Here is a 13,232-nt window from a genome sequence, read left to right as displayed (position 1 = left end):
AGAGAATGTGGAGGAAAGGGTGAAGAGAATGGAGGAGGGAAAGGGGTGCTTACAGCAAACCTGCTATATACTAGGGCCACAGAGGCCTTCGACCAGCATGTTCACATCTAATTGTCTTGACTGACTTGCAAATTAGGGATTATTGTTCCATTTTACAGATGAGGCTCAGAGAGGCTGGAGACTTGGCTAGGCTCACACACCTATGAAGTGCCACGGCAGAGATCTGAATCCAGATCTAATTTATGGTCCTGTTGCTTTTCCCCCACAGTGTGGGGACAAATCAGGCCCATTTGGGTGGAAAATATTTGGAAGAAAAGTTAAAGATTTGGACTGCTTAGCCTCAAACACAGAAAGCTAAAGGACGGATTATAATAAATATTTATTATTTAAGAAACACTCCCTCCTAGCCCTCCCCGGCCACTGGAGTATGAGTTCTCAAGGGCAGGTCCCAGACCTTTCCTCTACTGCCCTCCTCGCTACCCAGTCTAGGCCCTTGGGGAACTGAGTCCATGAATGGATCTGCACAAGCATAAGGCCCACTGGATAGCCTTAAACATGAGACTAAGATAAGATGGGCAGTGGTGAAGCTGGGCGGTGAGTACACCGTGGTCCCTGTACCGTTTTCTCTACTTTTGTGGATACTTAGACAGTTTCACTTTTTTTTTTTCTTTTTTTGAGATGGAGTTTCGCTCTTGTTTTCCAGGCTGGAGTGCAATGGCGTGATCTCAGCTCATCGCAACCTCCGCCTCCGAGGTTCAAGCCATTCTCCCGCCTCAGCCTCCCGAGTAGCTGGGATTACAGGCATGTGCCACCATGCCCAGCTAATTTTGTATTTTTATAGAGATGAGGTTTCTCCATGTTGGTCAGGCTGGTCTCGAACTCCCAACCTCAGGTGATCTGCCTGCCTCAGCCTCCCAAAGTGCTGGGATTACAGGCGTGAGCCACCGCGTCCAGCCACATTTTCACTTTTTAAAAAGGAAAATGGGCCAAAATTAAAGCAAGAGAGGAACCAACTGGACTTAAGAAAAACTAACCTGGATGCCAGGGGTCAAGGGAATGGGAGTGGGGACTGGGGCTAGCTGGGCACGCGGTTTATCCCCTGCTGGGGCAGAACCCAAACAGAGACCCCATAGGGCCCCCTGCCCTCAACGCTCCTCACGGTCAGCTCTCTCAGGGATTCTGAGATCACTGTGTCCAACCCGTTCGCTTTACAGAAGAGAAAGCCAAAGCCTCAAGAAGAGGTGTGCCTTGCTCACTTGAAGGTGCAATTAAACTCAGAGTATTGAAAACAAAAACAAAGCCAGGTGTGGTGCCCACGCCTGTCATCCCAGCACTCTGGGAGGCTGAAGTGGGTGGGTCACTTGAGGTCAGGAGTTTGAGATCAGCCTGGCAACATGGTGAAACCCTGTCTCTACAAAAAAATACAAAAATTGGTTGGGTGTGGTGGTGGTCGCCTGTAGTCCCAGCTACTTGGGAGGCTGAGGTGGGAGGATTGCTTGAGCCCAGGGAGGTCCAGGCTGCAGTGAGCTGAGATCATGCCTCTGCACTCCAGCCTGGGAGACAGAGTAAGACCCTGTCTCAAGAATAAGTAAATAAAATAATAATAATAATTTTTAAAAATAAAAACAAGCCCCAGAGCGGGCAGATCACCTGAGATCAGGAGTTCGAGACCATCCTAGCCAACATGGCAAAACCCTGTCTCTACTAAAAATACAAAAATTAGCCAAGCATGGTGGCAGGTGCCTGTAATCCCAGCTACTGGGGAGGCTGAGGCAGGAAAATTGCTTGAATCTGGGAGGTGGAGGTTGCAGTGAGCCAAGATCACGGCTCTGCAGTACTCCAGCCTGGGAGATAGAGCAAGACTTTGCCTCCAAAAAATAAATAAATAATAAAGTAAATAAATAAACACAAGCCACTAAAAAGCTTTCCAATCAATCCTTGTTAGTGCTCATGTAAGGAGAGGTTTTGCCTCTCAGTGGACATTTGTCTTTTGGGCCGTCGCTGGGTGTGGGGTGCTACTGACATCTCATAGGTAGAGGCCAGGGGTACTGCTAAACATTCCATGGCACACAAGAAGGTCCCCCCACGACAAAGAATGACCAGCCCCAAGTGTCAATAGGGTTGAGGCTGGGAAGCTCTGTTGTGTGCGGAATAAAACCTCCCACATAGAAGGTTTCCCATTGATCCCATGCTCTCTCTGAGGGGCCTCCAGCTGCTCCTGCCCCCGATGGGTGATGTCACAGCCACCGCCTTGATGGCCTCCATGGAGACCAAGAATCTGGAGTTAGGCAGTGTTTCCCTCCCTTTTTGCTCTGTGCCTGAGAAGGCAGCGCTCACTTGGAAAAAAAACAAAGCAAAGGAACCCATAGGGAAAAGATGAAGTCCGTCTGAATTTACTTTGTGACTTACTGTAAGGGCGTGGTAAGTACAAGTGTCACTATGTTAATCAAAAAGGTGCCAAATCCACGTCTCTAGCTTCCTCACGCCTTAGGATACAGCAAATTCCATGAGAATGTACAGGAAGGTCGGTGCTAAAAGTCAATGAGAACATAGGATTTCCTTAACAGAAACCCACTTTCCGGGCCACATCTTGCCTACAGAGTGAGGAATGGCTGCAGAGCCCAACCCCGAATAAACACGTCTTCCCCTGCTCCCAAGCAAGGAAACTGCCGCTGGAAATGTCTGACTAATGGATTTCATCTGTAATTTCTTTTCATAGCAGAATGCCTCAGCTTTGCTATTTTAACTTTTGCTGCTTGGGACCTTAGTTCTCCCCTGTTCTTGCAGACGAATCTCGGATCACTCTGTGGTTCGCCATATGTGGGCGGCTACCGGGCAGGCACTTGTGATGTCACTGTTTCCAAGGCTTAATGAAATTAGATGCCATTTCGGAGCAAGTCATTGGAAGTGGTGGGTCATTTGTCCCAAAAATAGCCATCGAGGCTTTTAGATGAAACTCTGGCTGGTCAGCCCTGGCCACCAGCCTGTCGGAGCCCTCGGTGCCGAGTGCCAGGGAGTGAGGCGAAAAACTCACTCGTTTGTTCACCTACTCATTCCCTCCACCTTACTGAGAACCACTGGCCCGGGGGCTGTGCTAGTGTATGTGTGTGCATGCGTGTATGTGTGTTGGGGGGCACGAAGGCAAATGAACACACCAGAGCCAAGTGGAGGCAGGCGGGAGGGAGCCCTAGAATCATTCTCATCGCCCCCCTCAAATCCTGACCTTGACATTCATACTACTAAGATGAGTTCATACCACTCTCTCCCTCTGTCCAAAGGAAAAAAGGTCCATCTCTGTCTCCAGCCCAGATGGAGCAACTTTGAGGGAGGAATAATAATAATAATATAATAGTAACAATCACAGCTATGACTGCTGCTACCCCCCTTGCGAGGGCTTACTGCGCACGAAGCCTCGGCTTACACTTTGCGTTCAGTATCTCGGATCACTTTCATAACCCTGTATGGTAGACAGTAGCATTCTTTCTGTTTTACTTGCCCAAGATGCAGGGCCAGGACTTGAACTGGCACAGTCTGGCAGTAGAACAATTCTTCTCACCCCTGGGCCACATGCCTGCCTGGAAGAGGGAAACAGGCTGGCAGGTGAAGGAGTGAAGGCCTGGATTTATGAGAAATCTGGGTGACGACTCCTGGTCTACATAGCACATAATGCTGATGTCACCAACGCATATAAGGTTTTCTCCCTGCAGCTCTCTCCCTAGACCTTGGTGCCCATGGCATGGCCTCCCAGCTCCAGCAGCCTCCACTTCTACCCCAATCATCCCCACATGTGACCTCTCCCATCCGTGATAACCCTTTCTGACCACAAAATCTTGGCCTTTCCCCTCCCCTCCTTCCCACAAAGACCAAGTCTGGACAAAGAGGAAGAAGAGTAAATCTGACTGCTTGACTTCCGGAAGGCCAGACAAACCACACTCCCCATCCCAAGGCAGCTCCCCAGTCTCCACAGGCTCTGGGGACTATACCCGGCCCAGCCCCAGGCTGGCTGCAGGGTCTTCCACTCTTGCTGGGCTGGGTCAGATTTGTCCTTGAATCTCCTGTGGGTCACGCAGGGCCTGGCCCATTAATAGCACTCAGTGAACTCCAGGTGAAAATATAAATTGACATCTACACAAGGCTATGTACCACAGCACCAGCTGTAATAGCAAATGACGGGAGGTCATCCAAACATCCAGCCAAAGGGGACACTACAGATCACCCATAACGCAGAGGGTGATACAGCTAGATGGGAAAATGACACTGTCACAGGGGAATCTCCAGGATACAGTAAGAGGAAAAGGCCAAGGCAGAACGCTGCATTCTGTTACATTTTATGTGTGTGTCCCTGTGTCAGGGGGGTGGTGCTTGAACCTAGGAGGTGGAGGTTGCAGTGAGCCAAGATCGTGCCATTGTACTCCAGCCTGGGCAACAAGAGCAAAACTCCATCTCAAAAAAAAAAAAAAAAAATATATATATATATATATACACACACACACACACACACACACACACACATATATATAATATTTAGAGATAAATTTGAGAAAAAAGTACAAGACCCATATACTGAAAATACTGCTGAGGGAAATTAAAGAAGACATGAAAGCAAAAGTAAATGTGGAAATATAGACATGTTAGTGGGTCAGAAGATTCAACATTGTAAGGATGGCATTTCTTCCCAAATTTATCCATAGATTCAACTCAATTCCAATCAAAATCCCAGCAAGTATTTTTGTAGAAATTGACAAGCTGGTTCTAAGATTCATATGGAAATACAAAGGACTTAGAACAGCCAAAGCAACTGTGAAAAAGAACAAATTTGGATCTGATGTCCAGACTTACTATAAACCTTCTAGAGGAAAACATAAGGGAATATCTTTGTAAGTTTAGGTTAGGCAAAGATTATCTTTTTAGATGAGACACCAAAAAGCTCAAGTAATAAAAGAAAAATGATAAATTAGGCTTCATTAAATTTTTTTTTTTGAGACGGAGTTTCACTCTTGTCGCCCAGGCTGGAGTGCAATGGCGCGATTTCGGCTCACTGCAACAACATGGATGATTCTCAAGATAATTATGCTGAATGGCAGGCAAACTAGGGTCCATATGGTATGGTTCTGTCTATATAAAATGCTAGAACATGCCAACTAATCTAGAGTGACAGCAGATCATCAGCTGCCCAGGGAGAGCGGAAAGGACAGGGAGGAGCAAGCTTTGGGGTGTGGTGTAGATATCCATGATCTTGGCTGTGATGATGGTTTCATGGACGTATACATATGTCAAATTTTTCACATTGTACACTTTAGACATGTGACATTTATTGTAAGTCGATTATACCTCAATAAAGCTGTCTGAATAAAACATTTTAATAACAGCCGTGATTGAAATACATCCCATACATTAAGTGATCCATGAGTTCATAAGGATACTTCCTAAAAACAAGTAACAAGCCTTGTTGGACACCTTTAAGATCCTACACCACCAACTCATTATTCTGAAAATTGGTAAATAAAGAGAATGCACTTACTCTGACTTTTTTTCTTGGTATAAAATGTATTTCTAGCTAGCCAAATAGTTGATGAGGGCAACGTTCTGTTTTATAGAATAACTTCAAAGAATGTATGCAGAAAGACTAAGAGAATTAGAAAAATCCTCTTTGTGCATCCACTGATGAAATCCTGGCTCTAGACAATAATCAGCAACGACAGGAAACTTCCTAACAGATAGACCAGGCTGCCCCTGCCTGAATGCAGTGATCCATCTGCCTGCCTGAACGCAGTGATCCATCTGCCTGCCTGAACGCAGTGATCCATCTGAGCATCTCAAAGAGAAGAAAGCCAGTTGTTCTGTACCTCTCAATGTGACACAATACAAAGCACACAGCAGTACCCAGGAATGCTTCTTGCCCAGAGAACTGACCCTGAGCCTAATCAAGGCTCCAGATCTAACCACCAGTTTACAGAAAATACCAGGAACAGGTTACATGATTCAATAAGCCCAATCCATAATGCGGGCATTCTACAGAATAAATGACCTAGTTTCTTCAATAAATAAAGGACGTGGCCAGGCATGGTGGCTCATGCCTGTTATCCCAAGGCAGGAAAATCTCTTGAGCTCAGGAGTTCCCTGGGCAACATAGTGAGATCCCGTCTCCACAAAATATTAAAAAATTAGTCAGGTGTGGTAGCTCATGACTGTAATCTGTTACTTAGGAGGCTGAGGTGGGAGGATCACTTGAGCACAGGAGTTTGAGCTTTAGTGAGCCGTGACTGCACCACTGCACTCCAGCCTGGGCAACAGGATGAGATCCTGTCTCAAGAAAGCCCACAGGCAATAGGTAGACCTTGTTGGATTCTGATTCCCTTTAACCCTAACCACTTACTTTCACTTTCCCAGCCTCCTTTGTGGCATGGGGTGGCCATATACCATTGCTCTGACTGATGATAATAAGCAGAAGCCTGCTGGGGGGGTAGGGGGCTTTTGGTTTTATAATCAAAGGGTCACACATCACCGGCACTAACATTTCTACCCCAACCCCATCTTCCTGTCCTGGGTGCAGACATAACATCTGGAGCTGGGGGAACTCCTCTGAGACCATAAGGGAAAAGTGCAGTTGAGAGCAGAGATAAAAACTCTGGCATCCTTGAGATGCTGAGCCAACACCAGAAGCAAGCTACCTCCAGTCTTCTTGTTACATGAGAAAAAAAATGAAAACAAAAAAACTCTTATTTAAACCTCTTCTAGTCCACTTTTCTGCTACTTCAGCTAAAAAAGCACCCTTATAGATAGCATGTAAAAGAAAAAGCAGAGGAGGTATGGAAAGCCCTTGACTTTCTGCCACTCAACAGCTGGAGAACTTGAATGAATTACCGTTCTACCTGGAAGGTTCTGCCTTTGCATCTCTGTATGGCTTGCTCCCTTACTTAAGTCTATTTTCAAATGTCATCTCCTCGGGGGAGCCTGTGCTTACTCTGCCCTCTTCTTTTAATTTTTTTTTTTTTTTTTTTAGACAGGGTCTCACTCTTGCCCAGGCTGGAGTGCAGTGGCGCGATCATGGCTCACTGCTGCCCCAACCTCCCTAGGCTCAGGTGATCCTCCCACCTTGGCCTTTCAAGGAGCTAGGACAAGCGCACACCACTGCACCTGGCTAATTTTTGTATTTTTTTGTAGAGACGGGGTTTTGCCATGTTGCCCTGGCTGTCTCAAACTCCTGGGCTCAAGCAATCTGCCTGCCTCAGCCTCCCAGTGTTGGGATTACAGGTGTGAGCCACCACGCCCAGCCTCTGCCCTCTTCTTTCTTCTCAGCACTTAAAATCACTCCCTGATGTTGAGTTATGTGTATCTGCTCACTGCCTGACTCCATCAGAATATGTCACCAGAGAGCTGGAACCCCATCTGTCTACATCACCAGGGCCTAGAAAAGTGTCCGGCATAGAGTAGGTTCAGGAGAAGCACTTGTGCAATGGATGAAGAAGGCAGCATTTCTCAAAATGTGGTCCAAGGACCACTGCCTCAGAATCTGTGGGAAGCTGGTTACACTTAGATTCCAGCCAGGCATGGTGGCTCATGCCTGTAATCCCAGCACTTTGGGAGGCCGAGGCGGGTGGATCATCTGACATCAGGAGTTCAAGACCAGCCTGGCCAACACGGTAAAACCCCGTCTCTACTAAAAATACAAAAAAAGTAGCCAGGCGTGGTGGCGTGTGCCTGTAATCCCAGCTACTTGGGAGGCTGAGGCAGGAGAATCGCTTGAACCCACGAGGCAGAGGTTGCAGTGAGCCAAGATCACGCCACTGCACTCCAGCCCGGGGGACAGAGCAAGGCTCCATCTCAAAAAAAAAAAATTTGCAGATTCCAGGGCCCCACTGTAGAATGAACTAAACTGGTGAGGGGTGAGGTGGGCAGGGCAGGAATCTGCTTTGCTGAAAAGCACAGTTCAGGAGATGCCCATGCGTGCTAGAATTCCTAAGGTGTAAGGCATGTGTTTATATCTAACTTCAAGCAGATTTCCTAAGACTTTTAGCCTGCACCCACCTGAGTTACCACAGGTCAACAGAGGGACGGGAAAGGGGACTGGCATTTCCTGGACTCCCACCCTATGGGCCAAGCACTGCTTAGACACTTGGCCTACTCTGTCCACAGAATCTTCCCTACTACTCCTGAGGTTCCTTCAACAAATGCAGAAACTGAGGCTCAGAGAGGCCAAGCCACTTGCCTAAGCTCACACAGCTAACAAGAAGCAGAGTCAGGACTGGAACCCTGGCCAGCCTCATCCTGGAGACTGAACACTGATCCTCCCTGGCCTCCCCAAAGCTCCCCACTGGGCCCTGGGAGCCTTGGCTCTCTGTACTCATCGCTGCTCTCCTGTGCCATGCAGGGCCCATGCTGACAGCAGGCCGTGGCACTGGGTGAGTGAGTGAAGGATGCAGGGTCCACGGAGCTAAGGAACTGTGGTGCTGTGTCACCTGGAGGCCCTGGCTGGGCAAGGCTGGAGAGGGGCCCCTCACCCCCACTTGCCTCCCCAACCTGCAACAGACAGATGAGCTCAGGCTTGCACAGGAAGAGGAAAGGCAGCCAGGGCTTGGCCGGGAGTCAGGCTTCCCGCTTGTCAAGGCCACAGGGAGTGCTGGGCTGGGGGGAGCAAGGGCCCCCCAAGTGTTTCCAACTCACTGGAAACAGGACACGGCCTCCTGGCCCCACACCGGGATAGAACAACATCCTGTGTGCAGATGCTATAAATGGAAATGTATTCTTAGAGGGGCAGAGCATGAGCGGGGTTTTTCAAAAGTGGCCCATCATCGGATAAAAATACAGACGGCATTTAAACGCTGAGCGGCAGGAGCTATTCCGGGGACTGGATTCTCATGCCCGTGGCTCCCCGCCAGGCACGGCCTTTCACAGAGATTTAAAAAGAATAAACTGTTGGTGTCAGTGTTTTTAAGTTTAGGAGGGGAGTATTTAGGGGAAGGAGCCATGCCAAGATGCCTGTGAAAGGTGCCCCTTTTGGGGACCCCAAGTGTCCCTTGACCTCCACCTGCCCAATTGATTCAGCTTTGCTTTGTGCTATGAGACCACCTTTTTTTTCTTTTCTTTTTTCTTTTTTTCTTTTTTTTGAGATAGAGTTTTGCTCTTGTTGCCTAGGCTGGAATGCAGTGGTGTGATCCTGGCTCACTGCAAGCTCCCCATCCCGGGCTCAAGCAATTCTCCTGCCTCAGCCTCCTGAGTAGCTGAGATTACAGGCATGTGCCACCACACCAGGCTAATTTTGGAATTTTTACTAGAGGCAGGGTTTCATCATGTTGGCCAGGCTGGTCTCGAACTCCTGGCCTCAAGTGATCCACCTGCCTCGGCCTCCCAAAGTGCTGGGATTACGGGTGTGAGCTACCAAGCCTGGCCTGAGACCACCTTTTGACAACACTCTCAGTGACCTTGAGAAATAAGTCAAGGCTGAGTTCTGGTGAGGCCTGGGGTAAAAGCACAGTGCAGGATTAAGATTTTAAGAGGGGAAGGAGAATGATATTTACTGAGCACCTCCCATGAACCCAAGTAGTAACTCATATTGTCTCATCTGATCCTCAAATCTGATCCTCAAAACCATTCAAGGTATAAACACTAGCTTCATCCCCATTTTTACAGAAAAATAAAACTGAGGTTCAGGAAAGACTGTGTAGAGACAGTGACTCAGACTGAGGCCTTGAGTACAGGCAGACACATGGGGACGAGGCTGGAGGAGAAAGGGTGGAGGTTCCTGCAAAGCTTCATGGCCCCCTGAGGCCCGAGGTTACTCTATCTCGTGGCCAAGCTGGGGTACATGTCCTCGCCCATCTGAACACAAGGTTACTGCACTGGGCTGGGAGCACAGCGAAGAGACCTGAAGGGGCAGGCAGCTAGCTGTGCACTTTAGAAAGCAAGATCTGGCTCACAAATGAAAAGGTGAAACTCTCCACACAATCCCAGGCAAAAGGGCTTTAGGAAAGGGGTCAGAATGTTTTCCTTGTGGGCCTGGCTGAGAGGCTAGTTGGTGATCACTTCCACTTCGGCACATCTCAGTGTTGTCACTTTTTCTATAATAAGCAGGTTATAAATGAAAAGAAAGACACAGTCAGGGCCTGTCTTAGCAGATCTGTCTTTGGCTGTGTGTTATCTGCCCCTCCTTCTCACCCCACTGCCCGCCAACATTCTTTGTTCCCCAAAGACCACTGCTATTCCAGCTTGGTGCCATCTGTCTGCATCACCCCCTCTCTCTCCTTCATCAGCTCACAGTACTTTGCATCCTCTAGTGCTTACTGTGGACCACACACTGATCTAGGTGCTGGGAGCACATCGGAGGTCAGACACAAATCTCCCAGTCTTCACCTAGATTATCTCCTAGTGGGAGAGACCAACAGTGAATGAACTCATATATGTCAGTGCTGATAAGCGTTATGAAGAAAAATAAAACAGGTTAAGGAAATAGTGTAATGCCAGGGCCCTTCGGATGGGGCTCATCAGACAAGGAGATCATGACATGCAAATGGAGATCGGAATTAAGTGAGACAACAGCCACAGGGATAGCCAGGGAAGAGCATTCCAGGCAGAAGGGACAGCAAGTGCAAAGGCCTCGAGGCAGGGAGCGTATCTGGCAGGTTCCTGGAACAGCAGCGAGGCTGATACAGCTGGAGTGGCCAGTGAGGTCAGAGGTCTCGGGCAATTGAAAACTCAGCTCACGCATCCCTTTCTCTGAGAAGCCATCTCCAATCAGCCTCAGGCCGGATGAAGTGCCCCCACGGGGACCTCTGCAGCCCCTGAGGTCTCCCTGTTACTACCGGGCACATGCGATGATTGATGTCACTGAGCATGCGTGGACTGCATTCACAAACAACAGCACGGCCCACACTGCCTCATTAATACTATTGGTGTCTTCCCCTCAAAGCTGTGAATTCCTCAAGGGCAGGAGGTTGTCTTACGCATCTTGGGGTTCCCCAGGGGCTGGCACTGTGATCTGAAGTGGCGAGCATCATCTTTAAGCAGCAAAAGGCCCGCTGAGCCAGGGAAGACTGTGAGTCTTTCCTGAGCCAAGAGCTCACCTGAGCTGTGCAGGCAAGTACCCTCGGGGAGCCACTTGGCTTCCTCACCACCCACCAGCAATGAGGCTTTGCAGAGGAGATCCAGGCAGGCAGGCGGGGAGGAAGGGAGTGGCTGCGAGAGGGAGGGAAGGGCTCTGCTCCCCGCTCCCCCTGCTAAATTTCCCATATCTGCCTCAACTTGTGCTTTCTTCAACAGTTCATGGCATAACTGAGCCCCTGCTTTGAGGAAAGCCCACATGAGAAAATAAAAATGTAAAACTAATTCATCAGGCAGTTATGATTCATAGAGAGGAAACACCTTTCCCTCTGAAAGAGATTCCAGGAAACGTCAGCATCCCAAGTGAGTTAACAGACCGGAGCGTTGGTCATCTAGCAGCTCACATCAGCAAATGAGAGACAGCCAGGCCTTACATGTGGGACAGAAGTATACTTGTCTGGAGTAGAAAAATGCCTACTGAGAATAGGCAGGAACTGGAAATTAGAGAAGTGGGCTGGGTGTGGCCTGTGGCAAACTGTGGAGTCCATAGAAAGCCTCCCAGCTTGGCACATGGCTGGAACCAAGGGGTCCGAGGGCAGCCCGTTAAGTGAAACCAGAAATCTGGGGAATTAGGTAAAATCACCAATTAAAAAATGATGGCAAGTGTTTCAAAAATAAAATAATACGCAAAGCAAAGGAAACACTTCTGTGGGTCAGATTTGGCCTGAGTATTATCAGTTTGTGAACTTGGCCTTAAATCTTGAACGTGAAGTATTTTTGTATCAGAATAGTCAGTAGAATGAAAGATACAGCAAGAAGAGAGAGAGAGACATAAAAGTTATAGAGCCAGAAGGGAGCTTCAAGATCATGGAGTTCCTGTGTGGTCAAGAGGTTTCATCTCAGGGATCAAGTCTAGTGGCTGCCAGGCTGGTAAGGCTGAGACCCAACTCTGTTGGAGCCCTGAGATAGATTAGCAATGTCTGCCAAGGACATGGGAATAGGAATATTTGCTCTACACTTTCTGGGTTTGATGAGTCCAGATGCATCTTAAAGGCAAAAACTGATCCAGAAAGCTGTACCAAATTCCCTAATGTCACAAGGAAGAACGGGTGTCCCATCTGGGGCTCTTCTCATGACACCCCCAGATGCCCCTAAACATTTTGATCTGCAGTCTACCAAAAACTTATCTTGGAGAGAAGCCATCTCTAAACCAATAATGCAAGTGGATAAGAAAATTTGATTTTTACAGTGATTCATTTTCTCCATGACTTCTTAGAGACAACATCTTTTCTAAATAGCAAGGAGAGTCTGAACCCTGACAAAGCCATCTGAGGCTGCTACCTCTGGCACACGAAATATCCCAGCTGAGGGACCTGAGCCCAGCCGAGGGGTCTGGCGCCAGAGGGAGCCTGGACCCACCAGAGAGCCATGGCTTGCCTCCCAGCTTGGCCCTCCCCATCCCACTCGGTGTGAGTCATGGCTAGCGACTTCAGTGTGCTGGCTGCAGAGTCCTCAGTTTTACTTGGCTCCTGAGCAAAATGTACTTTTCCAAAGGACACTCATTCAACTGAAGCTGAATTTTGCAATTCCCTGGCAGGGGTGAGGCCAGCCTCCCCTGAGCACACGCTGTCCTGGGGAATGGGGACCAAAGAATGTTGTTGTCACCCCCCTCACCTCCTCCTTCCTCCTCCCCAGGGGGGAAGATCTGTCTATACACTGGCAGAGCCCTGGCATGCCTGCCATTCCCTCAGCCTCTGCTAGTCACCCAACAGCAACCATTGCCTCCCTCCAGCTCCCCACGCAAGGTGCACTCCTGAACTGGATTTCAAACTGCACCTGACAGCAGGCCTGGAAGAACCACTGGAGAAGATGATCCCACAGCTAAGCCAGCCCGGGAAGCCCCCGCAGAGTGCAGAGCCACGCCCTGCTGCACATCACTGCTGGGGGTTGTGGTGGCTCAAGCACCAAGTGCATCGTGAACCTGTTTTTCTTTTTTCCCTCTTTTAAAACATAGGCTATATTTTTAGAGCAGTTTTAGGTTTACAGCAAAATTGAGCAGAAGATAGCGATTTCCCATATCCTGCCTGTCCCCACACATGCACAGCCTCCCTCACTATCAACATCCTGTACCACAGGGTTCATTTGTTATGATTGATGAATGAACACTGACTCATCATTGTCTCCCAAAGTCCATA

General features: G+C 48.6%; 1 protein-coding gene across 11 annotated transcripts in view, besides 2 other annotated features; it reads right to left on the bottom strand.

Moving 5' to 3' along the window:
- ERGIC1 (endoplasmic reticulum-golgi intermediate compartment 1) overlaps positions 1-13,232 on the bottom strand; it is a 118,433-nt gene that overhangs the window by 70,761 nt on the left and 34,440 nt on the right. The gene's annotated exons all lie outside the window — the stretch shown is intronic.
- Positions 2,480-3,455: an enhancer, noted in NCBI's record as "H3K27ac-H3K4me1 hESC enhancer chr5:172305471-172306446 (GRCh37/hg19 assembly coordinates)". NCBI's record gives its function as "activates a minimal SCP1, AML or CMV promoter by ChIP-STARR-seq in naive and primed H9 embryonic stem cells {active_cell/tissue: H9 hESC(naive and primed)}" and the evidence as "EXISTENCE:reporter gene assay evidence [ECO:0000049][PMID:30033119]".
- Positions 3,456-4,431: an enhancer, noted in NCBI's record as "H3K27ac-H3K4me1 hESC enhancer chr5:172304495-172305470 (GRCh37/hg19 assembly coordinates)". NCBI's record gives its function as "activates a minimal SCP1, AML or CMV promoter by ChIP-STARR-seq in primed H9 embryonic stem cells {active_cell/tissue: H9 hESC(primed)}" and the evidence as "EXISTENCE:reporter gene assay evidence [ECO:0000049][PMID:30033119]".

This window comes from Homo sapiens, chromosome 5 (genome assembly GCF_000001405.40).
Source record: "Homo sapiens chromosome 5, GRCh38.p14 Primary Assembly".
NCBI lineage: Eukaryota > Metazoa > Chordata > Mammalia > Primates > Hominidae > Homo > Homo sapiens.
Note: the sequence above shows the minus strand (reverse complement) of the source record. Positions and strands in the feature narration are given on the sequence as shown.